The sequence below is a fragment of the Homo sapiens genome, chromosome 17 (assembly GCF_000001405.40).
Source record: "Homo sapiens chromosome 17, GRCh38.p14 Primary Assembly".
Taxonomy (NCBI): domain Eukaryota; kingdom Metazoa; phylum Chordata; class Mammalia; order Primates; family Hominidae; genus Homo; species Homo sapiens.
In genome coordinates, this window is record NC_000017.11 from 43,112,336 (window position 1) to 43,139,488 (window position 27,153).

A 27,153-nucleotide genomic window follows, 5' to 3' on the forward strand; every position below is an offset into this window, starting at 1 on the left:
TCAGCCTCCCAAAGTGCTGGGATTACAGGCGTGAGCCACCACACCCGGCTTTGGACTTTTAATTCTAATATAACATTCAAAACACAATTTAAAATATGGCTGGCCCATCTCTACAAGAAACTTAAAAATTAGCTGGGCAAATGCCATGTACCTGTAGTCCTAGCTACTTGAGGGGCTGAGATGAGAGATTGCTTGAACCCAGATTGCAAGGTAAAAGTGAACTATGATCACACCACTGAACTCCAGCCTGGGTGTCAGAGGGAGACACTGTCTCAAAGAAACAAACAAAAATATATATGTGTCACACACACACATATATATAACATATTTATATGTATACACACACATATATCTTTATGACTGGTTCTTTCCTGACTATCACAATCCTGACTATCACAAGCTTGAAACCAAGCTTCTCACTCTTCTCCAGTTGCCAACTCTAATCCTCTCAATCTCAACAGCTGTTTTTTGTTGTTTTTTTTTTTTGAGACAGTTTTCACTCTTGTCGCCCAGGCTGGAGTGCAATGGCGCAATCTCGGCTCACTGCAACCTCCGCCTCCCAGGTTCAAGTGATTCTCCTGCCTCAGCCTCCCAAGTAACTGGGATTACAGGCATGCGCCTCCACGCCCGTCTAATTTTGTATTTTTAGTAGAGATGGGGTTTCTCTATGTTGGTCAGGCTGGTCTTGAGCTCCTGACCTCAGGTGATCCACCTGCCTTGGGCTCCAAAAGTGCTAGGATTAGAGGCGTGAGCCACCGTGCCCGGCCTCAACAGCTGTCTTTACCTCCAACTTCACTGGGCTCAAAGCACCTCAGCATCTTCCTGTAGAATTACTCTCCTTTTCCTTCATTACTGTTTATGAGTAATAATCAACTCTTTCTTACATCCTTTTTCTATTTCCAATCCCTTCTGCCTCCTCTTGGACCTTCTCTTTCTTGCAAATGGCTTCCCATCTTTGAGGGCTTCTTCCTTTTCTAACACAACTCCTATACACATATGCAAAGTTAGCTTATTTTTCCTGGATGTATTTTCTTTTCTTTTCTTTTTTTTCAGACAGAGTCTCACTCTGTTGTCAGGCTGGAGTGCATTGGCATGATCTCGGCTCAGGGCAACCTCTGCCTCCCAGGTTCAAGTGATACCCCTGCCGCAGCCTACCAAGTAGCTGGGACTACAGGTACGTGCCACCATGCCAGGCTAGTTTTTTGTGTGTTTTAGTAGAGACAGTGTTTCGCCATTTTGGCCAGGATGGTCTTAATTTCCTGACCTCGTGATCCGCCCACCTCGACCTCCCAAAGTGCTGGTATTATAGGCGTGAGCCACCGCGCCCGTCCTCTATTTTCTTTTATTTGTACATTTGCTCGTATTATTATCTCTGCCTATAAGCCTATAATTTCCTTCTTCCACAAGTTCTCAAAGCAACTATATTCATAACTTAATCTCTCTTTTTTTGTTAAGAGACAGGGTCAGCCAGGCGCGGTGGCTTACACCTGTAATCCCAACACTTTTTAAGGCCAAGGTAGCTGAAGTCAGGAGTTTGAGAGCAGCCTGGCCAACATGGTGAAAACCCTGTCTCGACTAAAAATACAAAAATTAGCTGGGTGTGGTGGCAGATGCCTGTAATCCCAGCTACTCAAGAGGCTGAGGCAGGAGAATCGCTTGAACCCAGGAGGTGGAGGTTGCAGTGAGCCGAGATCACACCACTGCACTCCAGCCTGGGCAATAGAGTGAAACACCATCTCAAAAAAAAAAAAAGACAGGGTCTCACTCTGTCATCTAGGCTGGAGTGCAGTGGTGTGATCATAGCTCACTACAGCTTCGAACTCCTGGCCTTAAGTGATCTTCCTGCCTTGGCCTCCCAAAGTGCTGGGGTTATGGGCAGGAGCTACCACACTGGGCCCTTGAGTCCCTGTAATAATAGTATAGTATGTTCAGCATTTGTTACTCAAGCTGACAAGAAAACATACAGTTCATTCCAGAAAGATTCTCATCCAGATAAATTGAAAGCCCCAGGGCTTTAAAGGTTAATCTTTAGCTCTCTGTAGTAAATACTGGGACTTTTTTTTTTTTTTTTGAGTCTCCCTCTTGTCGCCCAGGCTGGAATGCAGTGGCATGATCTTAGCTCACTCAGATGAAAATTATGGACTATCTTCCCAGAAAAATGTACATGGCCATAGTTTTGAATACAATTTAAATATAATTCTAGGAAATTCATAAAGACTATTCATAAACCCCAAGTTAAGAACTCTGGAATTTAAAAATTCCTCAAAGGATACATAAGAAATTGATCATTGTGGTTGTCTGGGGAGGGAACAGGGAGGCAGGGGTTGTAGGGTAAGAGGGAAGTATACTTTGCATCATATACCTTTTTGTGCTAATAAACTTTTTACCAAGTACATAGTTTGTACCTGGTACCAGGTTATGTACCAGGTACATAAATACTTAAAAACAAATTAGTTGACATTTAAGGTAAGATGTGAGCCATAGCTTAACATAAAGAAAAGGAGAAAGCCCACTTGTTCTACTAAATTACCTACTCTACTTTTTCTGAAATTCTTTTATTAAGAAACAAACATTTTCATTTCAAAAGACAAGATCATCAAATACGTAAATATAACTTGAATCACTGCTATAAATGAATTTTGGCCTAAATAGAAACTGGTATCAGGTCCTTTCCTGTCTTCACAATGATTACAAAGCGGGCAAACACTGACCCTTAGAAGGGGGAATGCATAAGGATATGCAGAAATGAACAGAAAGGAGAAACTGGGAAGGCTCAAACACAATGTGCTTATTTCAAAACTGCTTGCAGTTTGCTTTCACTGATGGACACAAAAAATACAAAACACTGTTCAAAATGATGTTACATCCTAATAGATAATATATGTCAGTCGGGTGTGGTGGCTCACGCCTGTAATCCCAGAACTTTGGGAGGCCGAGGCAGGTGGATCACAAGGTCAGGAGTTCGAGACCAGCCTGGCCAATATGGTGAAACCTTATCTCTACTAAAAGTACAAAAATTAGCCAAGCATGGTGGCGGGTGCCTGTAGTCCCAGCTACCTGGGAGGCTGAGGTAGAAGAATCGCTTGAACTCGGGGGGCGGAGGTTGCAGTGAGCCAAGATCATGCCACTGCACTCCAGCCTGGGCGACAGAGCGAGACTTTGTCTCAAAAAAAAAAAAAAAGATAATATATGTCAAAACTTTACCAGGAACTATGATTACAACCAACTTTTGATAACTATATACTCTCTGAGAAAGAATGAAATGGAGTTGGATTTTTCGTTCTCACTTAATTGAAGAAAGTAAAGCTTCTATAAAGTTAGGTGTTTCCTGGGTTATGAAGGACAAAAACAAAAGCTAATAATGGAGCCACATAACACATTCAAACTTACTTGCAAAATATGTGGTCACACTTTGTGGAGACAGGTTCCTTGATCAACTCCAGACTAGCAGGGTAGGGGGGGAGAAAAAGAAAATAAATGAGGCTCAATAATTTATTTAAAAATAAAGCTATTCTTAGTGAATAAGTTCAACTTTGAGCTGTTATGACTGAGTCAACATAAGGCCTCAAGTTCGTTCAATATTTATTAAATGTCTGCTGTGTCAGGAACTGAGAATACAGCAGAGAATACGATCCTTACCTTCAGTGAGCTTTCAGATATCAAAACAGAATTATATTGATCCCTTCAATACTCTATACTATCATCAGCATTTAAAAGATTAGTTGATAATAGTTCGTACGAATTCATTTCCAGTGATATATTTTTCTGCACTATCACTGTGGGTGCACATCTCATCTTTAAGCTCCATAAAGACAAAATTTTCTGCTTATATTTCTTTTGAATTCCTTCCTAGAACTTTTTTTTGTTTACTGTAAATGCCTTTTTAACTTAATATGGAAAATTTCAAGTATTTCAAAATTTCAAGTAAATAAAATAATAAAATGAACTATATGGACCATCACCCTGGTCCAACAACCATCAACTCATGGCCAAGCTGTTTCACCCATATCCACCCCTACCCCAGATTATTTTAATTATTATTACTTTTAAGATAAGGTCACACTCTGTCACCTAGGCTGGAGTGCAGTGGTGCAAACATACCTCACTGCAGCCTTGAACTCCTGGGCTCAAGCAATCCTCCCAGCACGGGGTTTACAGGCATGAGCCAACACACCCAAACCCAAGTGTCTTCTTTTTTTTGAGATGGGGTTTTGCTTTTGTAGCCCAGACTGGCATGCAATGGTGCGATCTCGGCTCACTGCAACCTCTGCCTCCCAAGTTCAAGTGATTCTCCTGCCTCAGCCTCCCAGGTAGTTGGAACTACAGGCGTGCGCCACCACGCCCGGCTGATTTTTCGTATTTTTAGTAGAGTTGGGGTTTCACCATGTTGGCCGGCTGGTCTTGAACTCCTGACCTCAGGTGATCCGCCTGCCTTGGCCTCCCAAAGTGCTGGGATTACAGGTGTGAGCCACCATGCCCAGCCCCAAGTGTCTTCTGATCTATAGGTGTCTCTTACTTTTTCTCCCTTGTCATTTATTTTTAAAATTAGGTCATTTGACCTGTGGAGTTTCCCCCATTCTGGATTTTGCTGATTGTATAACCCTATGGTGAGGTTTAACTTGTTCCTCTAGCCTTATTTCCTATAAACTAGACTTACAGGCTTAATCATTCAGGTTCAACTTTCTGGCAAGAACACTTTACAGATGGTACTGTGTACTCTTATTAGATCACTTCAGAAGAGGCATGATGTTTGGTTTGTGATTACTTTGTAAAAACAGTGTAATAAGTACTCACTAAAGGAAATTTAGAAAATGATAAGCTTAAGGCCGGGCATGGTGCCTCATGCCTGTAATCCTAGCACTTTGGGAGGCTGAGGTGGGTGGATCACCTGAGCTCAGGAGTTCCAGATCATCCTGGACAATATGGTGAAACCCTGTCTACGCTAAAAATACAAAAATTAGCCGGGCGTGGTGGCGCATGCCTGTGGTCTCAGCTACTTTGGAGACTAAGGTAGAAGGATCACTTGAATCCTGGAGGTGGAGGTTGCAGAGTGAGCCAATATCGTGCCACTGCACTCCAGCCTAGGTGACAGAGGAAGACTCTGTCTCAAAAAAAAGAAAATAAGGCCAGACACGGGGGCTCATGCTTGTAATCCCAGCACTTGGGAGGCCGAGGCGGGCGGATCATGAGGTCAGGATTTCGAGACCAGCCTGGCCAACACAGTGAAACGCTGTCTCTACTAAAAATACCAAAACTAACTGGGCATGGTGGCATGCGCCTGTAATCCCAGCTACTTGGGAGGCTAAGGCAGGAGAATCGCTTGAACCGGGGAAGTGCACGTTGCAGTGAGCCAAGATCGCGCCACTGTACTCCAACCTGGGCGACAGAGCTGGACTCCATCTCAAAATAATAATAAGCTTAAAAATAAAAACTTCAGAAAATACATCACCCAAGTTCCCATCCCTACCTGTCTATCCACAAAACCAAGGCATTCCTGAGATTAGTTCATTTATTATACTAATATAACAAGTGTTTATTAAGTATCTACTACTATATTCAAGTACTATTCTAGGAGATAGAAATGTAGCAGTTTACAAAATAAAGCCTGCTCTCATAGAGCTCATATTCTAGTGTGGTAGACAGTTGATACGGAATTAAAGAATACATGGGAATAAGTGCATTAAAGAGAAAAATTAAGCAGGGTAAGGGGAAACAGGTAGTTCAATATCTATGTGGGGGTGAGATGTACATGGGGGGAGTCAGGAAAGGTTTCACTGAGGTGAGACTAGAGGATAGCTTAATAATGTAAAGAAACACACTATGCAACAATTAGGGGAAGAGCATTCCAAGAAAGAGGGAGCAGAGAAGGCAAACCCTGAGCAGGACCATGCCTGTGTATGCAGGACATCAGATAGGTCAAGGTGCTAAAATGTAATAATCCAGGAGGATATTGTAGGGAAAGACTATCAGAGAGGTAGCTGGTAACTTCTGGTAGGAACCTATAGGCTATTTTAAATCTTTAGCTTTATTCTGGTCTTTTTAATTTTCTTTTTTTTTTTCAGACAGAGTCTCGTTCTGTCGCCCAGGCTGGAGTGCAGTGGCACCATCTCGGCTCTCTGTAACCTCCGCCTCCTGAATTCAAGTGATTCTCCTGCCTCAGCCTCCCGAGTAGCTGGGACTAAAGGCATGCACCACCATGCCTTGGCCTCCCAAAGTACTGGGATTACAGGAGTGAGCCACCATGCCAGCCATCTTTTTAATTTTTAATGTTAATTAATTTTTGTAGAGACAGGATCTCACTATGATGCCCATGCTGGTCTTGAATGCCTGGCATCAAGCAATCTTCCTGCTTCGGCTTCCCAAAGTGCTGGGATTACAGGTGTGAGCTACTATACCCGGCCTTTAGCTTTCTTCTGAATGTGAACCTTTTTTTTTTTTTTTGGAGATGGAGTCTCACTCACTCTGCTGCTCAGGCTGGAGTGCAGTGGTGTGGTCTTGGCTCACTGCAACCTCTGCCTCTCGGATTGAAGTGATTCTTGTGCCTCAGCATTCCAAGTAGCTGGGACTACAGGCGCGTGCTGCCACACCCGGCTAATTTTTTTGTATTTTTGGTAGGGAAGGGGTTTCACCATATTGCCCAGGCTGGTCTTGAAGTCCTGACCTCAAGTGATCCATCTGCCTCGACCGGGATTACAGGCGTGAGCCACTACACTTAGCTCTAAATGTGAATTTTTGAAACGGATTTTTTGGATAAAGTCCAGGCAAGATATCAAAGAACGACTAACCTGGCAGTGTGACAAGAATGTGGTTTTTTCCTTAAATATTTAACTTTTTAGAAAAGGATCACAAGGGCCAGGTGCGGTGGCTCACGCTGTAATCCCAGCATTTTGGGAGGCCAAGGCGGGCCAGCCTGGGTGACAGAGAATCCATCTCAAAAAAAGAAAAAAAAAAAAGAAAAGGATCACAAGAAAAGCTTGTGGACAGTAACCTTATTGTGAAGGGTTGTAATACAACTCTTGTAATCATGGGGTTTTTGACATAGCACAGGGCAGTGAAAAGAAAAACAATGAACTAAGTCAGGAGGCTGGGTTTCTACTACCAGTTGTGTATATAAGCAGAGCCACCTTGGGCTAACCACTCTACCTGAACCTGTTTCCTTCTCTTGCCATTCACCCTGCCAGACTCCTTGGGCTATTGCAAGAATAAAATTAAATGCTACTTGGGAAAATGCTTCACAACCTGAGATGACTTGGGAAAAATGCTTCACAACCTGAGATAACTTGTACCAACATTGGTATTATTACTGGGACCAAATGTGACTTTAAAAAGAAAAACAACCTTGACAAAGAAAACTCTGATTGGTTACTAAATCCCTATTTCTGAGATAAGCTACATTTCAAAGAAATTCTCCGTAAAAGAAAAATTGGATTCAGTTATCATACCAGATGGCTTTCATTCTCACCACTGACTCAATTCTGAAACAATTATATTTCAGTATGGTAATTATAATCTAAACTATATAAACACACTGTAAACACAAACTTTGAACAGATGAAAACTCCGATATGTAAAAAGGTAATGAATGTTGAAGGAAGACTGTGAAAAGGGAAAAGAAAAAAAATTAAAATGTTCCCCTTCTAGGTCCTGATGAGAGTAAATGTTTACTATAAAAATGATTCAAATATTTTAAACACTTTTCAAACCAGGCAATATTTTAGGCCTACTGTATATTTGCATTTTGAGCTTCCAATACGGATAAGTGACTGGAAAAAGCAGCTAGGTTTAGGTTGAAAAACAACAACCCACCGGGGAACACATTTTAGCAAATTCTTCTGAAAGTCAAAAATGTTATAGTCATAGGTAAAAAGTTACAAAGAACTACCAATTGTCAGAAATAGCTGCCAATATTGACTTAGAAGACAGCAGAAGGAATTTTAGTTCAAGAAACCTAAAACAGGCTGAAAACCTTACCTACCCTATAGCTACCACAAATAACACTGTTTCCAGTCATGATCATTCCTGATCACATATTAAGACATAACTGCAAATTGTGCTATACTGTACTATATTAAAAGGAAGTGAAATATGATCCCTATCCTAGAACTTTCCATACAAATGAATGTAAAACACCATAAAAATTAATCTTAAGGCCGGGCGCGGTGGCTCACGCCTGTAATCCCAGCACTTTGGGAGGCCGAGGTGGGCGGATCACGAGGTCAGGAAGTGGAGACCATCCTGGCTAACACGGTGAAACCCCGTCTCTACTAAAAATACAAAAAATTAGCCGGGCGTGGTGGTGGACGCCTGTAGTCCCAGCTACTTGGGGGGCCGAGGCAGGAGAATGGCGTGAACCCGGGAGGCGGAGCTTGCAGTGAGCCGAGATGGCGCCACTGCACTCCGGCCTGGGTGAAAGAGCGAGACTCCGTCTCAAAAACAAAACAAACAAAAATTAATCTTAAGCCAGGCGCAGTGGCTCACGCCAGCACTTTGGAAGGCCGAGGCGGGTGGATCACGAGATCAGGACTTCAAGACCAGCCTGACCAACGTGATGAAACCCTATCTCTACTAAAAATACAAAATTAGCCGGCCACGGTGGCGTGCGCCTATAATCCCAGCTACTCAGGAGGCTGAGGCAGGAGAAGCGCTTGAACTTGAACCTGGCAGGCGGAGGTTGCAGTGAGCCAAGATGGCGCCACTGCACTCCAGCCTGGGCGACAGAGCCAGACTCCAACCCCCCACCCCGAAAAAAAAAGGTCCAGGCCGGGCGCAGTGGCTCAGGACTGTAATCCCAGCACTTTGGAAGGCTGAGGCGGGTGGATCACAAGGTCAGGAGATCGAGACCATCTTGGCTAACATGGTGAAACCCCGTCTCTACTAAAAATACAAAAAATTAGCCGGGCATAGTGGTGGGCGCCTGTAGTCCCAGCTACTCGGGAGGCTGAGGCAGGAGAATGGCCTGAACCCGGGAGGCGGAGCTGGCAGTGAGCCAAGATCGTGCCACTGCACTCCAGCCTAGGCAGCAGAGCGAGACCGTGTCTCAAAAAAACAAAACAAAACAAAACAAAAAGTCTGGGAGCGGTGGCTCACGCCTGTAATCCCAGCACTTTCGGAGGCCAAGGCAGGAGGATCACCTGAGGTCAGGAGTTCGAGACCAACCTGACCAATATGGAGAAACCCTGTCTCTACTAAAAATACAAAATTAGCTGGTGTGATGGCACATGCCTGCAATCCCAGGTACTCCGGAGGCTGAGGCAGCAGAATTGCTTGAACCCGGGAGGTGGAGGTTGTAGTGAGCCGAGATTGTGCCACTGCACTCCAGCCTGGGCAACAAGAGCCAAAGTCTGTCTCAAAAAAAAAAAAAAAAAAAAAAAAAGAAATTAATCTTAACAGGAAACAGAAAAAAGCAATGAAAAGCTAGAAAACATAATAGTTGATTGAAAATAACAATTTAGCATTTTCATTCTTACATCTTTAATTTTTATGTATCTGAGTTTTTAATTGATGGTTTAATTTGCCAGAATGAGAAAGAACATCCTATTTTTATGACTCTCTCCCATGGAAATGAAACATAAATGTATCCAAATGCCACACTATTGAGGATTTTCCTGATCACTGATTGTCATGAGTAAGTTTTGTGCTTTTTCAAAAGCAGTTTTTTCCTACAATGTCATTTCCTGCTTCTCTGGCTCTGATTTTCAATAAATTGATAAATTGTGAATCCTGTTTTCCTCTTATTTTTGTTTAGCTATAATGTTGAAGGGCAAGGGAGAGGATGGTTATTTATAAATCTTGTATCGCTCTGAAAACACAACATACATTTTCCTTAATCTGATTAACTTGACTTCAAATATGAAAAACAACTTTCATAAAGCAGAAAAGAATTTACCCTTTTTTATTGTGGGTAAGAGGCAATGGTACAACTTTTCAACTTATTTTTTGAATGTTACTCACTACTAACCATCACCATATTTAAAAAAATTAAAGAACTAATTTAGTTTAGTTTATTATTTATTTGACAAATGTTTATTGAGTGGCAACTAGGTCCCAAGTACCGTTCTAACTACTGAACATACAGATGTATGTAAACAAAACAAAAATCCCATCCTGGAGTTTACATTCTGTGGGACTAGAGATAAAAAATGGATACATTACATAGAATGTCAGCTAGTAATCAGTGTTATGGAGAAGCAGCAGGAATAGAAGATAAAGTGTGTGCTGGGGGTGTGGTAATTTTAAATAGGGGTGTCTGGAAATGAAAAGGTGGTATTTCAATCAAGATTTTTAGACCATGGCTGGGTGCAATGGCTCAGGCCTGTAATCCCAGCACCTTGAGAGGCCAAGGGAGGGTAGATCACTTGAGGTCAGGAGTTTGAGACCAGCATGGCCAACATAGCAAAACCCTATCTCTACAACAGAAAAATACAAGAATGGCTGGACGCAGTGGCTTATGCCTGTAATCCTAGCACTTTGGGAGGCCCAGGCGGGTGGATCACAAGGTCAGGAGATCAAGACTATCCTGGCTAACACGGTGAAATCCCGCCTCTACTAAAAAAGAAAAAAAAATACAAAAAATTAGCCGGGCGTGGTAGTGGGTGCTTGTAGTCCCAGCTATTCAGGAGGCTCAGGCAGAAGAATGGCATGAACCCGGGAGGCAGAGTTTGCAGTGAGCTGAGATCGCGCCACTGCACTCCAGCCTGGGCAACAGAGCAAGACTCCATCTCAAAAAAAGAAAAAAAAATACAAAAATTAGCTGGGCATGGTGGTGCACACCTATCGTCCCTGCTACTCTGGAGGCTGAGGTGGGAGGATTGCTTGAGCCTGACGAGGTTGAGGCTGCAGTGAGCTGTGATAGCACCACTGCACTCCAGCCTCTCGACAGAGATCCTATATAAAAAAAAAACCTCTGCATTTCATTGTATGTAAATAAGTATGTAATTTCATTGTATGTACAGAGCCAGTTTCAAACAAAGGTTCTTCCAAATACCTATCCTCTCAACGACACCGATCATCCATGTTTTTTTTTTTTTTTTTTTTTTTTTGAGATGGAGTTTAGCTCTGTCGCTGGAGTTCAGTGGTGCCATATTGGCTCACAGCAACATCTGCCTCCTGGTTCAAGTGATTCTCCTGCCTCAGCCTCCTGAGTAGCTGGGATTACAGGCACATGCCACTACGCCCAGCTAATTTTTGTATTTTTAGTGGAGAGGGGGTTTCACCATGTTGGCCAGGATGGTCTCGATCTCCTGACCTCGTGATCCTACCACCTTGGCCTCCCAAAGTGCTGGGATTACAGGCATAAGCCACCGCCCTCGGCCTCATCCATGATTTTATTTTGCCATTTCAAGTGATGGAGCTTGTTTTAGAGCTGGAAGAAAAGCCAAAATGCCAGTTAATCTAAACTAGATTCCTGCCCCAGTGCAGAACCAATCAAGACAGAGTCCCTGTCTTTCCCGGACCACAGGATTTGTGTTGAAAAGGAGAGGAGTGGGAGAGGCAGAGTGGATGGAGAACAAGGAATCATTTTCTATATTTTTAAAGTTCTTCAGTTAAGAAAATCAGCAATTACAATAGCCTAATCTTACTAGACATGTCTTTTCTTCCCTAGTATGTAAGGTCAATTCTGTTCATTTGCATAGGAGATAATCATAGGAATCCCAAATTAATACACTCTTGTGCTGACTTACCAGATGGGACACTCTAAGATTTTCTGCATAGCATTAATGACATTTTGTACTTCTTCAACGCGAAGAGCAGATAAATCCATTTCTTTCTGTTCCAATGAACTTTAACACATTAGAAAAACATATATATATATCTTTTTAAAAGGTTTATAAAATGACAACTTCATTTTATCATTTTAAAATAAAGTAAATTTAAGATTTGGAAGGTTTTAGAATAATACAAACCAAAGAACTAATGACAACGTCCTTTATTTTTAAAGATTCTAGAAGTTGCTTTTTGTAATTAGACAACATAAATTCTGAATTTTTTCACATATTGCTGCCAACCCCTTGGGTCTTTTCCTTTCTCCAAGAAAGAGAAAGCTACAGAGGAGTGACTGACCGGGTAGGTGGTGGTAGCCTTAGCTTTCTCCAATGTTTCTGGTTGTTTTCTTTTTCTTGCATAAAACCAAAATCAACAACGACCAAACCAACACCAATCAAGGCCTCCCCGCCCCTAACCTTTCCCAGTGACCTGCTCTCATCTCTGGATCCTCCTCAAGCACATCCCTGCCGGCAGCATCTGTTACTACTGACGCTCCTCTACTTCCCTCTTGCGCTTTCTCAATGGCGCAAATGGATCCAGTTCTTAAGTTCTCCCTCCCACAAAATCCTGTCTCCTCCCCTTCCCAGACATATTCCTGGCACCTCTTCTTCCACAAGGTCCCATCCTCTCATACATACCAGCCGGTGTTTTTTGTTTTGTTTTGTTTTGTTTTGTTTTGAGACAGTCTCGCTCTGTCGCCCAGGCTGGAGTGCAATGGCGCGATCTCGGCTCACTGCAACCTCCGCCTCCCGGGTTCTAGCGATTCTCCTGCCTCAGCCTCCTGAGTAGCTGGAGCGGCACCACGCCCGGCTAATTTTTGTATTTTTAGTAGAGACGGAGTTTCACCACGTTGGTCAGGCTGGTCTGGAACTCCTGACCTCATGACCAGCCGACGTTTTTAAAGACATAGTGTCCCCCTCAAGGCATATTCCAGTTCCTATCACGAGGATTCCCCCACGGACACTCAGTGCCCCCTTCCTGATCCTCAGCGCTTCCCTCGCGACCTACAAACTGCCCCCCTCCCCAGGGTTCACAACGCCTTACGCCTCTCAGGTTCCGCCCCTACCCCCCGTCAAAGAATACCCATCTGTCAGCTTCGGAAATCCACTCTCCCACGCCAGTACCCCAGAGCATCACTTGGGCCCCCTGTCCCTTTCCCGGGACTCTACTACCTTTACCCAGAGCAGAGGGTGAAGGCCTCCTGAGCGCAGGGGCCCAGTTATCTGAGAAACCCCACAGCCTGTCCCCCGTCCAGGAAGTCTCAGCGAGCTCACGCCGCGCAGTCGCAGTTTTAATTTATCTGTAATTCCCGCGCTTTTCCGTTGCCACGGAAACCAAGGGGCTACCGCTAAGCAGCAGCCTCTCAGAATACGAAATCAAGGTACAATCAGAGGATGGGAGGGACAGAAAGAGCCAAGCGTCTCTCGGGGCTCTGGATTGGCCACCCAGTCTGCCCCCGGATGACGTAAAAGGAAAGAGACGGAAGAGGAAGAATTCTACCTGAGTTTGCCATAAAGTGCCTGCCCTCTAGCCTCTACTCTTCCAGTTGCGGCTTATTGCATCACAGTAATTGCTGTACGAAGGTCAGAATCGCTACCTATTGTCCAAAGCAGTCGTAAGAAGAGGTCCCAATCCCCCACTCTTTCCGCCCTAATGGAGGTCTCCAGTTTCGGTAAATATAAGTAATAAGGATTGTTGGGGGGGTGGAGGGAAATAATTATTTCCAGCATGCGTTGCGGAATGAAAGGTCTTCGCCACAGTGTTCCTTAGAAACTGTAGTCTTATGGAGAGGAACATCCAATACCAGAGCGGGCACAATTCTCACGGAAATCCAGTGGATAGATTGGAGACCTGTGCGCGCTTGTACTTGTCAACAGTTATGGACTGGAGTGTTATGTTTTCGTATTTTGAAAGCAGAAACTAGGCCTTAAAAAGATACGTACAACTCTTTAGGGAGACTACAATTCCCATCCAGCCCCAGGAGTCTGGGGCAAGTAGTCTTGTAAGGTCAGTGGCCTGCGGGGACGCAGTGAGCGCCGAATTTGCCTGGGGCAGGGGAAATGCGCTCTGGCCCATGTCTGCGCACTCGTAGTTCCACCCCTCAGCCCCAGTGTTTGTTATTTTTCGGGTTCAGCTTGCTTTTGCCCCGTCTCCGTCGACGCAATCGCCACCAGTCAATGGGGTGGTCGTTTTGAGGGACAAGTGGTAAGAGCCAATCTTCTTGGCGAAAACGCGGAGAAACGGGACTAGTTACTGTCTTTGTCCGCCATGTTAGATTCACCCCACAGAGATAGCGGCAGAGCTGGCAGCGGACGGTCTTTGCATTGCCGCCTCCCCAGGGGGCGGGAAGCTGGTAAGGAAGCAGCCTGGGTTAGCTAGGGGTGGGGTCACGTCACACTAAGAGGGTTTGGAGAAGTTCAAGGGAGGAATCCTGCAAAGAAGAGGGGCGACTTTTTCCGTGTCTCCGGACAGCTAATCGTTTTAGTGACAGGATGAGAGAGCCCTTCGTGTTCTGAGGGACCGAGTGGGCGAAAAGCGCCGGAGAGTTGGAGAGTCTGTGGTTCAGAATGCGAGGTGACAACGTGCTAGCAGCCCTCGCTCGCTCTCGGCGCCTCCTCGGCCTTGGCGTCCATTCTGGCCGTGCTGGAGGAGCCCTTCAGCCCGCCACTGCGCTGTGGGGGCCCCTCTCTGGGCTGGCCGAAGCCAGAGCCGGCTCCCTCTGCTTGCGGGGAAGTGTGGAGGGAGAGGCGGGTGTGGGAACTGGGGCTGCGCGCAGCGCTCGCCAGCCAGCGCGAGTTCCAGGTGGGCGCGGGCTCAGCGGGCCCCGCACCCCCGGCCCCGGGCAGTCAGGGGCCTAGCACCCGGGCCAGCAGCTGCAGAGGGTGCGCCGGGTCCCCCAGCACTGCCGGCCCGCCTGCACCCCGCTTGAATTCTCACCGGGCCCCAGCCGCCCTGCACAGGGCAAGGCTCAGGACCTGCAGCCCGCCATGCCCGAGCCCCCTCCCAACCCCTGTGAGCTCCAGCGTGGCCTGAGCCTCCCCGACGGGCACCGCCCCCTGCTCCTCAGCGCCCGGTCCCATCGACTGCCCAAGGGCTGAGAGGAGTGCAGGCGCCCGGCACAGCCCTGCGCAGGATCCACTAGGTGAAGCCAGCTGGGCTCCTGAGTCAGATGGGGACTTGGAAAACTTTTATGTCTAGCCTGAGGATTTTATATGCACCAGTCAGCACTCTGTGTCTAGCTTGGGGTTTGGGGATGCACCAATCAGCACTCTGTATCTAGCTAATCTGGTGGGCACTTGGAGAACTTCTGTGTCTAGCTAAAGGATTGTAAATGCACCAATCAGTGCTCTGTGTCTAGCTCAAGGTTTGCAAATGCACCAATCAGCACTCTGTGTCTAGCTAAAGGTTTGTAAACGCACCAATCAGTGCTCTGTGTCTAGCAAATGTAGTGGGGACTTGGAGAATTTTTATGTCTAGCTAGAGGATTGTAAATGCACCAATCAGCACTCTGTGTATATCTAGCTCAGGGATTGTAAATGCACCAATCAGCACCCTGTCAAAACGGACCAATTAGCTCTCTGTAAAATGGACCAATCAACAGGATGTGGGTGGGGTCAGATAAGGGAATAAAAGCAGGCTGCCCCGCTGGGTGCCAGTGGCTCACACCTGTAATCCCAGCAATTTGGGAGGCCTAGAGGGGTGGATCACGAGGTCAAGAGATCGAGACCATCCTGGCTAACACAGTGAAACCCCGACTCTACTAAAAAGACAAAATATTAGCTGGGTGCGGTGGTGGGTGCCTGTAATCCCCTCTACTGGGGAGGTTGAGGCAGGAGAATGGCGTGAACCCGGGAGGCGGAGCTTGCAGTGAGCCCAGATTGCACCACTGCATTCCAGCCTGGGTGACAGAGGGAGACTCCATCTCAAAAAAAAAAAAAAAAAAAAAAAAAAATGCAGGCTGCCTGAGCCAGCAGCAGCAACCCGCTCTGGTCTCCTTCCACGCTGTGGAAGCTTTGTTCTTGTGCTCTTTGCAATAAATCTTGCTGCTGCTCACTCTTTGGGTCCGCATAGCATTTATCTGCTGGTAACACCGACCGCAGAGGTCTGCAGCTTCACTCCTGAAGCCAGCGAGACCACGAACCCACCAGGAGGAATGAACAACTCCAGACGGGAGGAACGAACAAACTCCAGACATGCCGCCTTAAGAGCTGTAACACTCACCGCAAAGGTCTGCAGCTTCACTCCTGAAGCCAGCGAGACCACGAATCCACCAGAAGGAGGTAACTCTGAACACGTCCGAACATCAGAAGGAACAAACTCTGGACACATCATCTTTAAGAACTGTACCACTCACCGTGAGGGTCCGCAACTTCATTCTTGAAGTCAGTGAGACCAAGAACCCACCAATTTCGGACACAAGAACATCCGGCTTCTACTGATGGAAGGCCACGACTCCTCAGTAGAAAGAGGGCCCAGGCAAAGAAAATGAGAGAGAGTCCTTGGGGTGGTGACACTATCTTGGGAACATGGAGTGCTAGGAAACGATAACTGGAAGACTAGGATGAAATCTGCAAGTTAAAAAATGACACTACCCATATATCCTTCTCATCCCATTCTCCTTTTTTCGAGACCCCGTTAAAGAGATCTTGGTTAGGGACCTTTGGTTTTGGAAAGGCACTGTTTCTCCTTTTTGTCAAACACTCAACTTTCAGGCCACACTTTTTTTTTTTTTTTCGAGACAAAGTCTCGCTTTCTCAAAGACCAGCCCAGGCTGGTCTTGAACTCCTGAGCTCAAGCGATCCTCCTGCCTTGGCCTCCCAAAGTGCTGGGATTACAGGCATGAGCCACCACTCCCGGCCTCAGCTTGGATAACTTGGCTTGTACAGGCCTCTGGTGGAGACAGTAACCAAAGTTCGGGTTGCCAGGTTTGTTTCATTAAAGGGATTTTGTTGAGGCTGAAAGAAAAAAAAATCGATGTGGAGGAAAAGCTAACTTGTGCCAAGACAAGGTGAGTCAGTCACATGGACTTAACAATAATGTCAATTATGAAAGCTGAAGGCCTAGGACCCAGCTATCTGACTCTACTGGCTGTAGACCTAAGGAGCAGGTAGGGTTAACCATAGCTTTCGTGTTTACACACGTTCAAGATTAATGCTCTTGCTGAAAGAATTTTTTTACATGCCAGCCAAAGAGAGTTCCTTATGGAGACCTGGATATGGTCCAGCTAAGCTAGAATCTCCCACTTCCTGTTTTCTCTTAGTTGGCCCACCAGCTGGAGGAGCTCCAGAATATCTAAATTAATTTCCAATTGTGTAATTTGAGAAAAAGAGACGAAGATTAATTTCCCTAACGAGTAGGGAAGTGTGTTTCTTTTTTTTCTTTTTTTTTTGAGACTGAGTCTCGCTCTGTCGCCCAGCCTGAAGTGCAGTGGCACGATCGCGGCTAGTGCACTGCGAACTCTGTCTCCCGGGTTCACGCCATTCTCCTGCCTCAGCCTCCCGAGTAGCTGGGACTACAGGCACCCGCCATCACGCCCAGCTAATTTTTTGTGTTTTTAGTAGAGATGGGGGTTTCACCGCGTTAGCCAGGATGACCTCGATCTCCTGACCTCGTGATCTGCCTTCCTCGGCCTCCCAAAGTGCTGGGATTATAGGCGTGAGCCACCGCACCTGGCAGGAAGTGTTTCTTAAAGTTGGAAAGTGGTATTTCAGAATATCCGCTTTTGGCAGACTGAGTCAGTCACTTCATTTTCCTGATTTTTTGCCTAAGGTCCTGGTGAATTGACAAAGATTCTGCCCAAATTTTAACGACCCCAGTAATTACATGTCATATGAATGAATACTTGACGTCAGCAGGACTGCGTTTTGGTGGTGAACTTGGTTCTAGGTAGAAACAAAGAATGGAGAAAACTGGGGGATAATTATCTTAGGGTTTCAAAAAAGTGCCTGATCTTCACAGACTTCAGGGTCCTTAAAATAACAGTCTTAATTGTAGTGTTTTACAGGGCAGTGCATTACATTGTCAAAAACAGTACAGGTTTATGGTTCTAATGACTGGTTTATTATTTTTAAAAATGTTTAATTGAACTTAATTTTTTTAAGGAGACAGGGTCCGGCTTTGTTGCCCAGGCTGGTCTTCAACTCCTAGGTTCACGATCCTTCCACCTCAGCCTCCCAAATTGCTAGGATTACAGGCATGAGCCACCACACCGGGCCAATTTTTTATTTTATTTTTGAGACAGAGTCTCGCTCTATCACCCAGGCGGGAGTGCAGTGGCATGATCTTGGCGCACTGCAACCTTGCCTCCCAGATTCAAGCAATTCTCTTGCCTCAGCCTCTTGAGTAGCTGGGAATACAGGCCTGCGCCACTACACCCAGCTAATTTTTGTATTTTTATTAGAGACGAAGTTTCACCATGTTGGCTAGGCTGGTCTCGAACTCCTGGACTCAAGCGATCTGCCTGCCTCTGCTTCCCAAAATCCTGGGATTACAGACATGAGCCACTGTGCCTGGCCTGTATTATAATATTTTTATATTTGAATGACATTTTGAAAGAACTTGCATATTCATTTTTAATTTGATCCTTATGGTAACACTGTGAGATCGGCAAAACAGACATATTAGACCTATTTTACAGATTAAAGAACTGAAGCTCAAAGGTGAACTGACCTGCTCACAGTTTTATGTCTAGTAATGGGCCAGAGCTGTGTCTAGAACCCAAGTCTTCCCATTTTTTGTGCTCACACACATACACACAATTTGCTGTTCTGATTAGATGACATTTCATTGCTTTCAATTTGCATTGTTCTGACCACCAGAAAGTTTGAAAGTCTTCTGAGGTATTTGTTAGGTGTTCTGACTTCTTCTATGAATTTTATGTATACTTTTTCCTGGGTTGTTAATTGTATCATTAGCAGTTTTGCTGATACTCTGGGTGTGTTGCAGATATTAACCCTTTGCTGTGGGTTGTGATGGTTGTTTGTTGTCTTCTGATTTTGTGGATTTTTTTAACCATATAAAATATTTAGTATGTAATGAAATATGCCCAACTCATCCTTTGACTTCTATGTACATTATAACCTGCCTTTAAATGTGTATTTCTTTTGTAGGTAAAAGTTTCATTTGATCTGAATAGTATTAAAATAAAATACCTGGATGAGGAAGATGAAGAGGTAAAGTATATTATGGTACTTATTGCTAGGTGTTCAGAATAGGGATCTTATTTCTCCAGTGATATGGGCTTTAATAATTCGAAGTAGCGCTTAGCTCATTTGTGTCTCAAAATAATAATAATAATAATAAAAACAATGAGACATGCAAGAGATGTCGGGAGAAGCACCAGAAGATTCCATTGAAATCTTGCTCCCCAGAAGGGTGGGAACAGTAGGGACAGAAAACTGCTGTGGTTCATTATGTTTCATCCCCATTTCGCTTCATTTTATTGAACCCCGTCTCTACTAAAAATACAAAAAATTAGCCAAATGTGGCAGCAGGCGCCTGTAGTCCTAGCTACTTGGGAGGCTGAGGCAGGAGAATGGCGTGAACCCAGGAGGCGGAGCTTGCAGTGAGCCGAGATCGTGCCACTGCACTTCAGCCTCGGTGACAGAGCGAGACTCCGTCTCAAAAAAAAAAAAAGGATATCAGCTTTTTATTTTCTTTTCTTTTCTCCTTTTCTTTCTTTGCTTTGCTTTTCTTTTTGTTTTGGGACAGAGTCTCACTCTGTCATCCAGGCTGCAGTGCAGTGGCGCAATCTCAGCTCACTGCAACCTCTGCTTCCTGGGTTGAAGCGATTCTTGTGCCTCAGCCTCCCAAGTAGCTGGGACTACAGGCATGCACCACCATGCCTGGCTAATTTTTGTATATTTGGTAGAAATGGGGTTTCACCATGTTGGCCAGGCTGGTTTTGAACTCCTGGCCTCAAGCAATCCAGCGGCCTCAGCCTCCCAAAGTTATGGGATTACAGGCATGAGCCATTGTGCCCAGCCAGGATATCATCATATTTAATCCTCACATCAACTGACATTTGCCCCAATTTACAGATGAGGAACTGAGGCACAGAGAGGTTTTGGTACTTGCCTGAGGTCACACACTCTGGGCTCTCTGCTTGGGGCTGAGGGCCAAGGGGGGTTGTGACTGACTTCTCTTTCCTGAACATCAATAAAATTCAATTTAGAAATTTCTGTCTTCAGTGCTATCTCGAGGGGCCTGTGAAAAATGCTGACTCGGTGGCAGCTGTCTTAGCCCCATACTCATTGGGTTGCCCTGAGCCCCACACTGTTTTAAGGAAGTCCCAGCAAATAATATGGGATAGAGGTGAGATCCAAACCTAAGCAGCCCTGGCTCTAAAACCCACTGAACAAAGCTGCCTCTCCAACTAGCATCAGAAAGAACTAGGTGAGAATCCTACTTCTATCACTTACTAGTTCTGTGGCTCTGGCCGCCCCCGCCCAAGTTACTTAACCTCTTTTTTTTTTTTTCCTTTTTCTTTTTCTTTTTTTAGAGACGAAGTCTCGCTCTGTCACCAGGCTGGAGTGCAGTGGCGTGATCTTGGCTCACTGCAACCTCTGCCTCCGGGTTCAAGCAATTCTCCTGCTTCAGCCTCCCGAGTAGCTTGGGACTACAGACGTGCGCAACCATGCCCAGCTAATTCTTTTTTTCTTTATTTTATTTTATTTTTTTTTTTGAGATGGAGTCTCGCTCTGTCGCCCAGGCTGGAGTGTAGTGGCGCGATCTTGGCTCACTGCAAGCTCTGCCTCCCGGGTTCACGCCATTCTCCTGCCTCAGCTTCCTGAGTAGCTTGGACTACAGGCGCCCACCAGCACGCCCAGCTAATTTTTTTTTTTCTTTGTATTTTTAGTAGAGACGGGGTTTCACTGTGTTAGCCAGGATGGTCTCGATCCCCTGACATCGTGATCCGCTGTCCTCGGTCTCCCAAAGTGCTGGGATTACAGGCGTGAGCCACCGCACCTGGTCGATTAACCTCTTTTAAGCCTGTTTTCTCATCCATACAATGGAGATAATGGCAGCACCCACTGCTTGGTAAGGAATATTAGGTGAACACAGGTGCCTATGTGGGTTCCTCCATTTTCCATAAATGTTAATTCCCTTATCCCTCATCTCCTAGGTTAGTCCCAGAGGACAGATTTGAAGTTTGAAAACAGAAAGTAACTGCCAAAAGGGATTATTTAGGGCAGAGATTGTCCCCTTTTATTATGCTTTAGGTCCTCAGTGGTGAGGGCAGGGGACAGGAGAAGTGGGATCCAGCCCAAATTCTTGGATCTCATCGTAGAGTGACTCTTTAGGGGCTTAGGATTCTGCATTTTGGACCCGTCCCCAGGGCATTCTGATGCCTGCAGTTCTCCTGTCTGGCTTTGAATAACTCTGGGTAGTGCTTTAAATCTAAGCTGACATACCAGTGGGATGTGAACTGTCCTTGCAAATGTTTTGAGCCCTTCCTGCGCTGGCCTCCAACTCTGCCTTGCTCAGTCTGTCTTTAGCTCCTTTCCATTCTGGCCTTCTCCCTTTCCTTTTTCACTTCCTTTTTTTTTTTTTTTGAGACAGGATCTCACTCTGTTACCCAGGCTGGAGTGCAGTGGCATGATCTTCGCTCACTGCAAGCTCCGCCTCCCGGGTTCAAGCAATTATCATACCTTAGCCTCCTGAGTAGCTGGGACTACAGGCGCACACCACCACACCCAGCTAATTTTTGTAGTTTTAGTAGAGATGGGGTTTCACCATGTTGGCCAGGCTGGTCTCAAACTCCTGACCTCAAGTGATCCGCCTGCCTCGGACACTCAAAGTGCTAGGATTACAGGCGTGAGCCACCACGCCCAGCCTCCTTTTTCACTTCCTACCTTCCTCCCCACCTCTGGGTGTACCCTCCCCTGAGCTCAGCCTGTATTTCTATCTGCTGGCCACTTACCAGCCAGTCCTTTCATCTACAATGCCCTTTACTCACCTAGAAAGCTCACATCAAAAGTCGCCTCCTCCAGAATACCTCTCAAGTTCTCCTCTCTGGTCCCTTGACCCTTTGCAGGTACCTTTTTTCTTGTACAAGTCACATGATAATGTAAGGGGTTTTTTTCCCCATCTAGAGCCTGCCTGGTGGGCTCATGGTCCATTTGTGGAAACATGCATTTCCCTCTCCTCCGCCCCCCTCCTTCATGATCCATGCTTTAAGAGCTTCCCCAAGGCATGCAGAGCAAGCTGAGAAGAGGTAGACAAGCCTGCAGACCTTTCAAAGAAGTGGGGTGGCTTGGGAAGTAAAAGAAGATCTGGAGATAGGAGTTCCTAAAAAGCAGACAAGAGATTACCGAGGGGTTCCCCACAGCTCCAGCACACAGCAGCTGCAAAAAAAATGCAGTGGAATTACTGAGGGACATTATGGGCTTGATGGAGGACAGGGAATGCTTGTGCCAAGCCACCAAGGATCATGCTGTGGCAGTTGTGACCAGATAGACTATACTTTTGCCAAGGTGAAAGGATTTCCCTACTAAATCCTTTACTTTCCACTTTGTTTAAAATGAGTTTAACACCAAGAAAATAGTTGTCTCTATGTCCTTATTTCTAATCTTCCTGCTCAACCATGAACTGCACTAAACACACTCAGACCCATCTAACCTAAAATTGAGAAAGGGAGGTTCTCACTCCTGGAGAGAGAATTACTGAAAGGGCGGCCCTCATACAGTTCAGGGTCATACCCCCAATAGCTGGTTTTATATTTGAAAGCAGACACTGGGACTCTGACCTTTGCAGAGATAAAAGGGATACTTTCCTAACCCAGAGAGGCCAAAGGAGCACAGGACGCCCAGGCCGAGGGCAGTGAAGCTTGCAGACCCAGGCTGTGCAACCCCCACAGCAGGTCTCCTCACGGGATAGATAGACTATTGGCCCCAATTCCTCAGCCCTACATGCACCCACCCCTTGCCATGGTTTCGTTGTGGGTGGAGGGTACTTTCCCAGCCCCTGGCTTTGGGCTTGCCCACGTGTCTTGCTCTGGCCATGGAATGAAGCACAAAGGAGAGCCTGCTAGTTCCTAACCCACGCCTGAAGACGCCTTAGGCGGTTCTGCGGACCCCGTGCACTTCCACCTTCAGCCAGAAGGCCTTCTCTGGTGCAGCCGTTGCTTCAGCCTCGGTCCAAAAGGATCGGAGCCCCCTGGCCGATCCGCAGGCCTGCAGGGAGCCACAGAGCGCAGCGGCCGGCCCAGCGTTCAAGCCCAAGCACAGGCCTGCAAGAACTTTCTTCCAACTGCCGTTTGGGATGGTTGATTAGGACGCGTTGCTGTGGCGGTAGCTCACCAATCCAATGCATGCACCCGCTCCTTTATTAGGCTATAGGGCCAGTGGCTGCGACAGGGACCTGATACAACAGTGCGTTAAATAAGGAGCTTATTGAGCTATCATGTCATAAGCCGGTGGAGAAGTCCAGGCCTAGTGTAGGGTCTCTGGCCGGGGCTGTAGCCTTCATCCGCGTGGAACCTTCCCATGGTTCGCAGGTCGCGGTCTTCGGAGCCTTCAGCCTCGTGAGCCCGAACAGTCCATAGGGCGGCGCCAGACCCTCTTCCCAACGCCACCCTCTAAAGCCTCGGCTCCAACCGATTCCACTTCTGCTTCAGGCTCAGGATTTTCACTCTTCTCGAATGGGGGTGGCCCTCCCCTGATCTTCTGAATCGCAACAGCATCTCCCTCCCTCCAGGACATCAGAGCCAGAGCTGGGCGAGAGGCCCTGACCTCTGGGGTAGGGTGGCAGCGTCCCCTTGAAGATGCGGTCCCGCCTCCCATCCCCAGGCGCCCGGCCTCTCACACCCTCAGCACCCTGCTCACCTCCAGCTGAAGATGCCAGGGCACCTCTGCTTCCTCCCTGCTCTCTGCAGTACCGCAGAGTGAGCATAAAAGGGCTTAATACAGGCTTCGCCGGGCGCAGGGCTCCCGCCTGTAATTCCAGTACTTTGGGAGACCAAGGCGGGAGGGTCACTTGAGAACAGGAGTTCAAAACCAGCCTGGGCAACAAAGTGAGGCCCGTCTCTAACAAAGACAATGAGAAATAAATCTAAAAATTGGATAGACTGAAACAGGCAATGAGGAAAGGATTCCCTATTTAATAAATGGCATTGGGAAAACTGGCTAGCCATATGCAGAAAACTGAAACTGGACCCCTTCCTTACACCTTATACAAAAATTAACTCAAGGTGGATTAAAAACTTAAACATAAGATCTAAAACCATAAAAACCCTAAAAGAAAACCTAGGCAATACCATTCAGGACATAGGCAGGGGCAAAGACTTCATGACTAAAACACCAAAAGCAGTGGCAACAAAAGCCAAAATTGACAAATGGAATCTAATTAAACTAAAGAGCTTCTGCACAGCAAAAGAAACTACCATCAGAGTGAACAGGCAACCACAGAATGGGAGAAAATTTTTACAATCTACCCATCTGACAAAGGGCTAATATCCAGAATCTACAAAGAACTTAAACAAATTTACAATAAAAAATCAAACAACCCCATCAAAAAGTGGGCAAAGGATATGAGCAGACACTTCTCAAAAGAAGACATTTATGCAGCCAACAGACACATGGAAAAATGCTCATCATCACTGGCCATCAGAGACATGCAAATCAAAACCACAATGAGATACCATCTCACACCAGTTAGAATGTCAGTCATTAAAAAGGAAACAACAGGTGCTGGAGAGGATGTGGAGAAATAGGAACGCTTTTACGCCATTGGTGGGACTGTAAACTAGTTCAACCATTGTGGAAAACAGTGTGGTGATTCCTCAAGGATCTAGAACTAGAAATACCATTTGACCCAGCGATCCCATTACTGGGCATATATCCAAAGGATTATAAATCATGCTGCTATAAAGACAAATGCACACGTATGTTCATTGCGGCACTATTCACAATAGCAAAGACTTGGAACCAACCCAAATGTCCATCAATGATAGACTGGATTAAGAAAATGTGGCACATATACACCATAATATACTATGCAGTCCTAAAAAATGATGAGTTCATGTCCTTTGTAGGGACATGGATGAAGCTGGAAACCATCATTCTGAGCAAACTATCGCAAGGACAGAAAACCAAACACCACATGTTCTCATAGGTGGGAACTGAACAATGAGGACACTTGGACACAGGGTGGGGAACATCACACACCAGAGCCTATTGTGGGGTGGGGGGAGGGGGGAGGGATAGCATTAGGAGATATCCTTAATGTAAATGACGAGTTAACAGGTGCAGCACACCAACATGACACGTGTATACCTATGTAACAAACCTGCACGTTGTGCACATGTACCCTAGACCTTAAAGTATAATAATAATTAAAAAAAAAAAAAGAATAAAAGAGGTCCCTTTTTCTGGGAGATTGATGTAGGGGAGCGAGCGTGTGAGTTGGAAGGGAGGCATTGAGGATCAGCCATTTAAAGCAGCATACAAGGATGTTCAAGGCTCGAGATCCACAGGTGTATTTTCAGAACCTGAATTTCCTGGCGGGGCACAGTGGCTCATGCCTTTAATCCCAGCACTTTGGGAGGTCAAGGTGAGCGGATCACTTGAGGTCAGTTCAAGACCAGCCTGGCTAACATGGTGAAACTGTTTTTACAAAAAAATATAAAAATTAGCCGGGCATGGTGGTGAGCACCTGTATTCCCAGCTATTCAGGAGGCTGAGGCAGGAGAATCATTTGAACCTGGAAGGCAGAGGTTGCAGTGAACCAAGATCATGCTACTGCACTCCAGCCTGGGTGACAGAGTAAGACCATCTCCAAAACAAAACAAAACAAAAACCCAAAATAGGCCGGGCGCGGTGTCTCGCACCTGTAATCCCAGCCCTTTGGGAGGCTGGGGCGGGTGGATCACCTGAGGTCAGGAGTTTGAGACCAGTCTGACCAGCATGGTGAAACCCTGTCTCTACTAAAAATACAAAAATTAGCCGGGCATGGTGGTGCATGCCTGTAATTCCAGCTACTAGGGAGGCTGAGGCAGAATTGCCTGAACGCAGGAGGCAGAGGATGCAGTGAGCTGAGATTGTGCCATTGCATTCCAGACTGGGCAACAAGAGCGAAACTCCATCTCAAAAGGAAAAAAAAGCAAAAGAGAAAAAACCCAAACAAACAAAACCCCTGAACTTCCCTGCGGGCACATTTTCTCTGGCAGCCTTTTTCAATGAGAGCTATGTTTTCTCCGATACTATATGGCCTGCGGACCGCTCAGCTTTCATTCCAGTGAAAACATTCCAGAACAAACTCCAGGTCGGTCCCAGGTGTTTCTCCAATCAACTCAGGGCATGGTTGTGTGTCACCTGCTGCCCAGCTAGAATGACACCTCTCCAGGCCTCTGACTTAGCTAGGTCTCCACCATGTGACTCCACCGTAGACTCCATGCCTTCTTCTTTTGCAAAGCCTCGGACACCCAAACACCTACCAAAAGTGGGTAGGGTGCCAGGACACCTCCAAGTATAAGTAGGGCTCCCCACCATGCCTGGATGTGGAGTTGTGCTGCAGAGTGGTGGCTGCTCATGACATTCATTTCACCCCTTTCTGTGCAGGTGCTGGAAGCCCAGGAAGCACACATCAAGGCTCCCTTGCCAGCAGGGTGCTGCCAATAAAAGGTAGTCACGTGGAATTTGGAATGTGGAAAGGAGGTAGAAGTCATCCTTTCCTCCCCTGTAGCAGCAGGCGTGCAGGCTCTGGTGGTCAGCTGGACTCCATACTCCCCCACCAGTCACCAGCCTGGGGACCGTGGGGCTGCAAGGACCTCAGCAGCGGTGTCCCAAGTTTCCTGACTTCTTCCATCCTCTGGAAATCAGCTGTGGTAAAGTAGCCTGAAAGCCAGTGGTACAACCCCCTCCCCACAACCTTCACCACCTCTAGCCCCTCCAATGAAAAGCACTAATTGCCTATATACAACCCCTTTTTGTTTGAAATATCTAGAGTAATTTCTGTTTTCCTATCTGGGGTAGTGTAACGTAAGAAGAAATATACATTTGGTCTCTGCCCCCGGTTCCTAACACAAAGCTCCTAAAACCCTTGGAAATTCCTGAAAGATGGGGGTGCTAGGAGCATTGTCTTTTTTTTTTTTTAAATTTATCATTTTTCTTTTCTCCCAGGTGTTTTTTCCTTTTTTTTTTTTTTAACTTTTATTTTAGATTAGGGGATACATGTGAACGTTTGTTATATAGCTAAACTTGTGTCACATGGGTTTGTTGTACAGATTATTTCGTCACCCAGGCACTAGGCCTAATACCCGATAGTTTTTTTCTTTTTTTTTTTTGAGATAGAGTCTCGCTCTGTTGCCCAGGCTAGAGGCACGATCTCGGCTCACTGCAACTTCCGCCTCCCAGGTTTACGCCATTCTTCTGCCTCAGCCTCCTGAGTAGC

The 27,153-nt window shown here is 46.1% G+C and overlaps 1 protein-coding gene and 1 long non-coding RNA gene across 370 annotated transcripts in view, besides 48 other annotated features; one reads left to right on the forward strand and one right to left on the reverse strand.

Moving 5' to 3' along the window:
• The window catches only part of BRCA1 (BRCA1 DNA repair associated), a 126,033-nt gene that overhangs the window by 68,041 nt on the left and 30,839 nt on the right, over positions 1-27,153 (reverse strand). For 73 of the 368 annotated variants that reach the window (NM_001408475.1, NM_001407875.1, NM_001407659.1 and 70 more), the window contains exons 1-3: positions 12,942-13,029; positions 11,682-11,780; positions 3,391-3,444 (exon numbers count right to left, since the gene is read on the reverse strand). In NM_001408475.1, the coding sequence (NP_001395404.1) occupies positions 3,391-3,444; positions 11,682-11,761 (134 nt within the window). In that variant the 5' untranslated portion in view covers positions 11,762-11,780; positions 12,942-13,029. Of the gene's footprint in view, positions 1-151; positions 272-3,390; positions 3,445-6,785; positions 6,931-9,222; positions 9,346-11,681; positions 13,030-27,153 lie in introns of those variants that run through there. The other 295 variants (NM_001408413.1, NM_001407660.1, NM_001407661.1 and 292 more) reach the window with 34 other exon arrangements.
• Positions 7,294-7,481: a non allelic homologous recombination region, noted in NCBI's record as "sub-region a, recombines with sub-region a' in the BCRA1P1 intergenic recombination region, resulting in a deletion". NCBI's record gives the evidence for it as "EXISTENCE:nucleotide sequencing assay evidence [ECO:0000219][PMID:16772120, PMID:17561994]".
• Positions 7,294-7,965: a biological region, named in NCBI's record as "BRCA1 intronic recombination region". NCBI's record gives its function as "recombination_partner: LOC110485085".
• Positions 7,402-7,596: a silencer, noted in NCBI's record as "CNS-2 (195 nt)". NCBI's record gives the evidence for it as "EXISTENCE:reporter gene assay evidence [ECO:0000049][PMID:15990270]".
• Positions 7,402-7,726: a biological region, named in NCBI's record as "BRCA1 intron 2 regulatory region". NCBI's record gives its function as "regulatory_interactions: LOC111589215 | NBR2".
• Positions 7,515-7,537: a non allelic homologous recombination region, noted in NCBI's record as "sub-region b, recombines with sub-region b' in the BCRA1P1 intergenic recombination region, resulting in a deletion". NCBI's record gives the evidence for it as "EXISTENCE:nucleotide sequencing assay evidence [ECO:0000219][PMID:11880951]".
• Positions 7,615-7,851: a non allelic homologous recombination region, noted in NCBI's record as "sub-region d, recombines with sub-region d' in the BCRA1P1 intergenic recombination region, resulting in a deletion". NCBI's record gives the evidence for it as "EXISTENCE:nucleotide sequencing assay evidence [ECO:0000219][PMID:11880951, PMID:19405878]".
• Positions 7,615-7,965: a non allelic homologous recombination region, noted in NCBI's record as "sub-region c, recombines with sub-region c' in the BCRA1P1 intergenic recombination region, resulting in a gene conversion event". NCBI's record gives the evidence for it as "EXISTENCE:nucleotide sequencing assay evidence [ECO:0000219][PMID:26171949]".
• Positions 7,622-7,726: an enhancer, noted in NCBI's record as "CNS-1 (105 nt)". NCBI's record gives the evidence for it as "EXISTENCE:reporter gene assay evidence [ECO:0000049][PMID:15990270]".
• Positions 12,160-12,183: a protein binding site, noted in NCBI's record as "Sp1-3". NCBI's record gives the evidence for it as "EXISTENCE:protein binding evidence [ECO:0000024][PMID:15252835]".
• Positions 12,160-15,221: a biological region, named in NCBI's record as "BRCA1 promoter region". NCBI's record gives its function as "regulatory_interactions: BRCA1 | LOC111589216 | NBR2".
• Positions 12,325-12,360: a silencer, noted in NCBI's record as "36 nt BstNI/BseRI element". NCBI's record gives its function as "negative regulation of transcription" and the evidence as "EXISTENCE:reporter gene assay evidence [ECO:0000049][PMID:11313975]".
• Positions 12,799-12,819: a protein binding site, noted in NCBI's record as "AP-1/CRE". NCBI's record gives the evidence for it as "EXISTENCE:protein binding evidence [ECO:0000024][PMID:18377656]".
• Positions 12,804-12,819: a protein binding site, noted in NCBI's record as "AP-1 (ERa binding site)". NCBI's record gives the evidence for it as "EXISTENCE:protein binding evidence [ECO:0000024][PMID:16229810, PMID:18377656]".
• Positions 12,804-12,831: a protein binding site, noted in NCBI's record as "Sp/AP-1 site". NCBI's record gives the evidence for it as "EXISTENCE:protein binding evidence [ECO:0000024][PMID:18377656]".
• Positions 13,014-13,280: a promoter, noted in NCBI's record as "0.27 kb promoter; similar to L6 fragment from PMID:10773883 and -202/+20 fragment from PMID:10085126". NCBI's record gives its function as "bi-directional promoter" and the evidence as "EXISTENCE:reporter gene assay evidence [ECO:0000049][PMID:9261099, PMID:10085126, PMID:10773883]".
• Positions 13,014-14,770: a promoter, noted in NCBI's record as "-1714/+42 promoter fragment". NCBI's record gives the evidence for it as "EXISTENCE:reporter gene assay evidence [ECO:0000049][PMID:21668996]".
• Positions 13,063-13,104: a protein binding site, noted in NCBI's record as "E2F A/B site". NCBI's record gives the evidence for it as "EXISTENCE:protein binding evidence [ECO:0000024][PMID:17106239]".
• Positions 13,063-13,104: a protein binding site, noted in NCBI's record as "E2F A/B site". NCBI's record gives the evidence for it as "EXISTENCE:protein binding evidence [ECO:0000024][PMID:17106239]".
• Positions 13,063-13,104: a protein binding site, noted in NCBI's record as "E2F A/B site". NCBI's record gives the evidence for it as "EXISTENCE:protein binding evidence [ECO:0000024][PMID:17106239]".
• Positions 13,063-13,104: a protein binding site, noted in NCBI's record as "E2F A/B site". NCBI's record gives the evidence for it as "EXISTENCE:protein binding evidence [ECO:0000024][PMID:17106239]".
• Positions 13,063-13,104: a protein binding site, noted in NCBI's record as "E2F A/B site". NCBI's record gives the evidence for it as "EXISTENCE:protein binding evidence [ECO:0000024][PMID:17106239]".
• Positions 13,064-13,103: a protein binding site, noted in NCBI's record as "UPFR6 GABP site". NCBI's record gives the evidence for it as "EXISTENCE:protein binding evidence [ECO:0000024][PMID:17663789]".
• Positions 13,077-13,100: a protein binding site, noted in NCBI's record as "53BP1 site". NCBI's record gives its function as "positive regulation of promoter activity" and the evidence as "EXISTENCE:protein binding evidence [ECO:0000024][PMID:15970701]".
• Positions 13,081-13,103: a transcriptional cis regulatory region, noted in NCBI's record as "UP element". NCBI's record gives its function as "negative regulation of promoter activity in context of native promoter" and the evidence as "EXISTENCE:site-directed mutagenesis evidence [ECO:0005528][PMID:17663789]".
• Positions 13,081-13,103: an enhancer, noted in NCBI's record as "UP element". NCBI's record gives its function as "Gabpa-stimulated enhancer when multimerized" and the evidence as "EXISTENCE:reporter gene assay evidence [ECO:0000049][PMID:17663789]".
• Positions 13,210-13,339: an enhancer, noted in NCBI's record as "active region_12234". NCBI's record gives its function as "activates an Ori minimal core promoter by ATAC-STARR-seq in GM12878 lymphoblastoid cells {active_cell/tissue: GM12878}" and the evidence as "EXISTENCE:reporter gene assay evidence [ECO:0000049][PMID:35858748]".
• Positions 13,211-13,240: a protein binding site, noted in NCBI's record as "BRCREO AP-1 binding site". NCBI's record gives its function as "positive regulation of promoter activity" and the evidence as "EXISTENCE:protein binding evidence [ECO:0000024][PMID:17434164]".
• Positions 13,218-13,257: a protein binding site, noted in NCBI's record as "YY1 site". NCBI's record gives its function as "positive regulation of promoter activity" and the evidence as "EXISTENCE:protein binding evidence [ECO:0000024][PMID:21666725]".
• Positions 13,222-13,231: a protein binding site, noted in NCBI's record as "CRE; binding prevented by cytosine methylation". NCBI's record gives its function as "positive regulation of promoter activity" and the evidence as "EXISTENCE:protein binding evidence [ECO:0000024][PMID:11536045, PMID:11704836]".
• Positions 13,222-13,257: a protein binding site, noted in NCBI's record as "PRR; single stranded DNA binding site". NCBI's record gives the evidence for it as "EXISTENCE:protein binding evidence [ECO:0000024][PMID:12748281]".
• Positions 13,222-13,257: a protein binding site, noted in NCBI's record as "PRR; single stranded DNA binding site". NCBI's record gives the evidence for it as "EXISTENCE:protein binding evidence [ECO:0000024][PMID:12748281]".
• Positions 13,222-27,153, forward strand: part of NBR2 (neighbor of BRCA1 lncRNA 2) — a 28,115-nt gene continuing 14,183 nt past the window's right edge. The window contains exons 1-6 of one of the 2 annotated variants that reach the window (NR_138145.1): positions 13,222-13,435; positions 18,873-18,935; positions 20,264-20,388; positions 20,621-20,802; positions 25,821-26,025; positions 26,322-26,587. This is a non-coding gene — a long non-coding RNA (neighbor of BRCA1 lncRNA 2). The remainder of the gene's footprint in view (positions 13,436-18,872; positions 18,936-20,263; positions 20,389-20,620; positions 20,803-25,820; positions 26,026-26,321; positions 26,588-27,153) is intronic. The other variant, NR_003108.2, reaches the window with a different exon arrangement.
• Positions 13,225-13,265: a protein binding site, noted in NCBI's record as "HMGA1 site". NCBI's record gives its function as "negative regulation of promoter activity" and the evidence as "EXISTENCE:protein binding evidence [ECO:0000024][PMID:12640109]".
• Positions 13,233-13,260: a protein binding site, noted in NCBI's record as "BRIBS GABP site". NCBI's record gives its function as "positive regulation of promoter activity" and the evidence as "EXISTENCE:protein binding evidence [ECO:0000024][PMID:10773883]".
• Positions 13,233-13,260: a protein binding site, noted in NCBI's record as "BRIBS GABP site". NCBI's record gives the evidence for it as "EXISTENCE:protein binding evidence [ECO:0000024][PMID:10773883]".
• Positions 13,236-13,260: an enhancer, noted in NCBI's record as "RIBS element". NCBI's record gives its function as "enhancer when multimerized" and the evidence as "EXISTENCE:reporter gene assay evidence [ECO:0000049][PMID:10773883]".
• Positions 13,238-13,264: a protein binding site, noted in NCBI's record as "Ets site". NCBI's record gives the evidence for it as "EXISTENCE:protein binding evidence [ECO:0000024][PMID:12637547]".
• Positions 13,265-13,273: a transcriptional cis regulatory region, noted in NCBI's record as "Nfe2l2/Nrf2 site". NCBI's record gives its function as "mediates positive regulation by Nfe2l2" and the evidence as "EXISTENCE:site-directed mutagenesis evidence [ECO:0005528][PMID:23353771]".
• Positions 13,390-13,479: an enhancer, noted in NCBI's record as "active region_12235". NCBI's record gives its function as "activates an Ori minimal core promoter by ATAC-STARR-seq in GM12878 lymphoblastoid cells {active_cell/tissue: GM12878}" and the evidence as "EXISTENCE:reporter gene assay evidence [ECO:0000049][PMID:35858748]".
• Positions 13,400-13,423: a protein binding site, noted in NCBI's record as "Sp1-2". NCBI's record gives the evidence for it as "EXISTENCE:protein binding evidence [ECO:0000024][PMID:15252835]".
• Positions 13,449-13,498: a protein binding site, noted in NCBI's record as "CTCF-2". NCBI's record gives the evidence for it as "EXISTENCE:protein binding evidence [ECO:0000024][PMID:15252835]".
• Positions 13,609-13,632: a protein binding site, noted in NCBI's record as "EBS". NCBI's record gives its function as "positive regulation of promoter activity" and the evidence as "EXISTENCE:protein binding evidence [ECO:0000024][PMID:23433111]".
• Positions 13,950-13,979: a transcriptional cis regulatory region, noted in NCBI's record as "E-Box X". NCBI's record gives its function as "mediates promoter activation by Myc" and the evidence as "EXISTENCE:site-directed mutagenesis evidence [ECO:0005528][PMID:21668996]".
• Positions 14,078-14,134: a protein binding site, noted in NCBI's record as "CTCF-1". NCBI's record gives the evidence for it as "EXISTENCE:protein binding evidence [ECO:0000024][PMID:15252835]".
• Positions 14,097-14,118: a protein binding site, noted in NCBI's record as "Sp1-4". NCBI's record gives the evidence for it as "EXISTENCE:protein binding evidence [ECO:0000024][PMID:15252835]".
• Positions 14,330-14,359: a transcriptional cis regulatory region, noted in NCBI's record as "E-Box Y". NCBI's record gives its function as "mediates promoter activation by Myc" and the evidence as "EXISTENCE:site-directed mutagenesis evidence [ECO:0005528][PMID:21668996]".
• Positions 14,384-14,401: a silencer, noted in NCBI's record as "18 nt h4 element". NCBI's record gives its function as "negative regulation of promoter activity" and the evidence as "EXISTENCE:reporter gene assay evidence [ECO:0000049][PMID:15777733]".
• Positions 14,408-15,221: an enhancer, noted in NCBI's record as "H3K27ac-H3K4me1 hESC enhancer chr17:41278760-41279573 (GRCh37/hg19 assembly coordinates)". NCBI's record gives its function as "activates a minimal SCP1, AML or CMV promoter by ChIP-STARR-seq in primed H9 embryonic stem cells {active_cell/tissue: H9 hESC(primed)}" and the evidence as "EXISTENCE:reporter gene assay evidence [ECO:0000049][PMID:30033119]".
• Positions 14,804-14,827: a protein binding site, noted in NCBI's record as "Sp1-1". NCBI's record gives the evidence for it as "EXISTENCE:protein binding evidence [ECO:0000024][PMID:15252835]".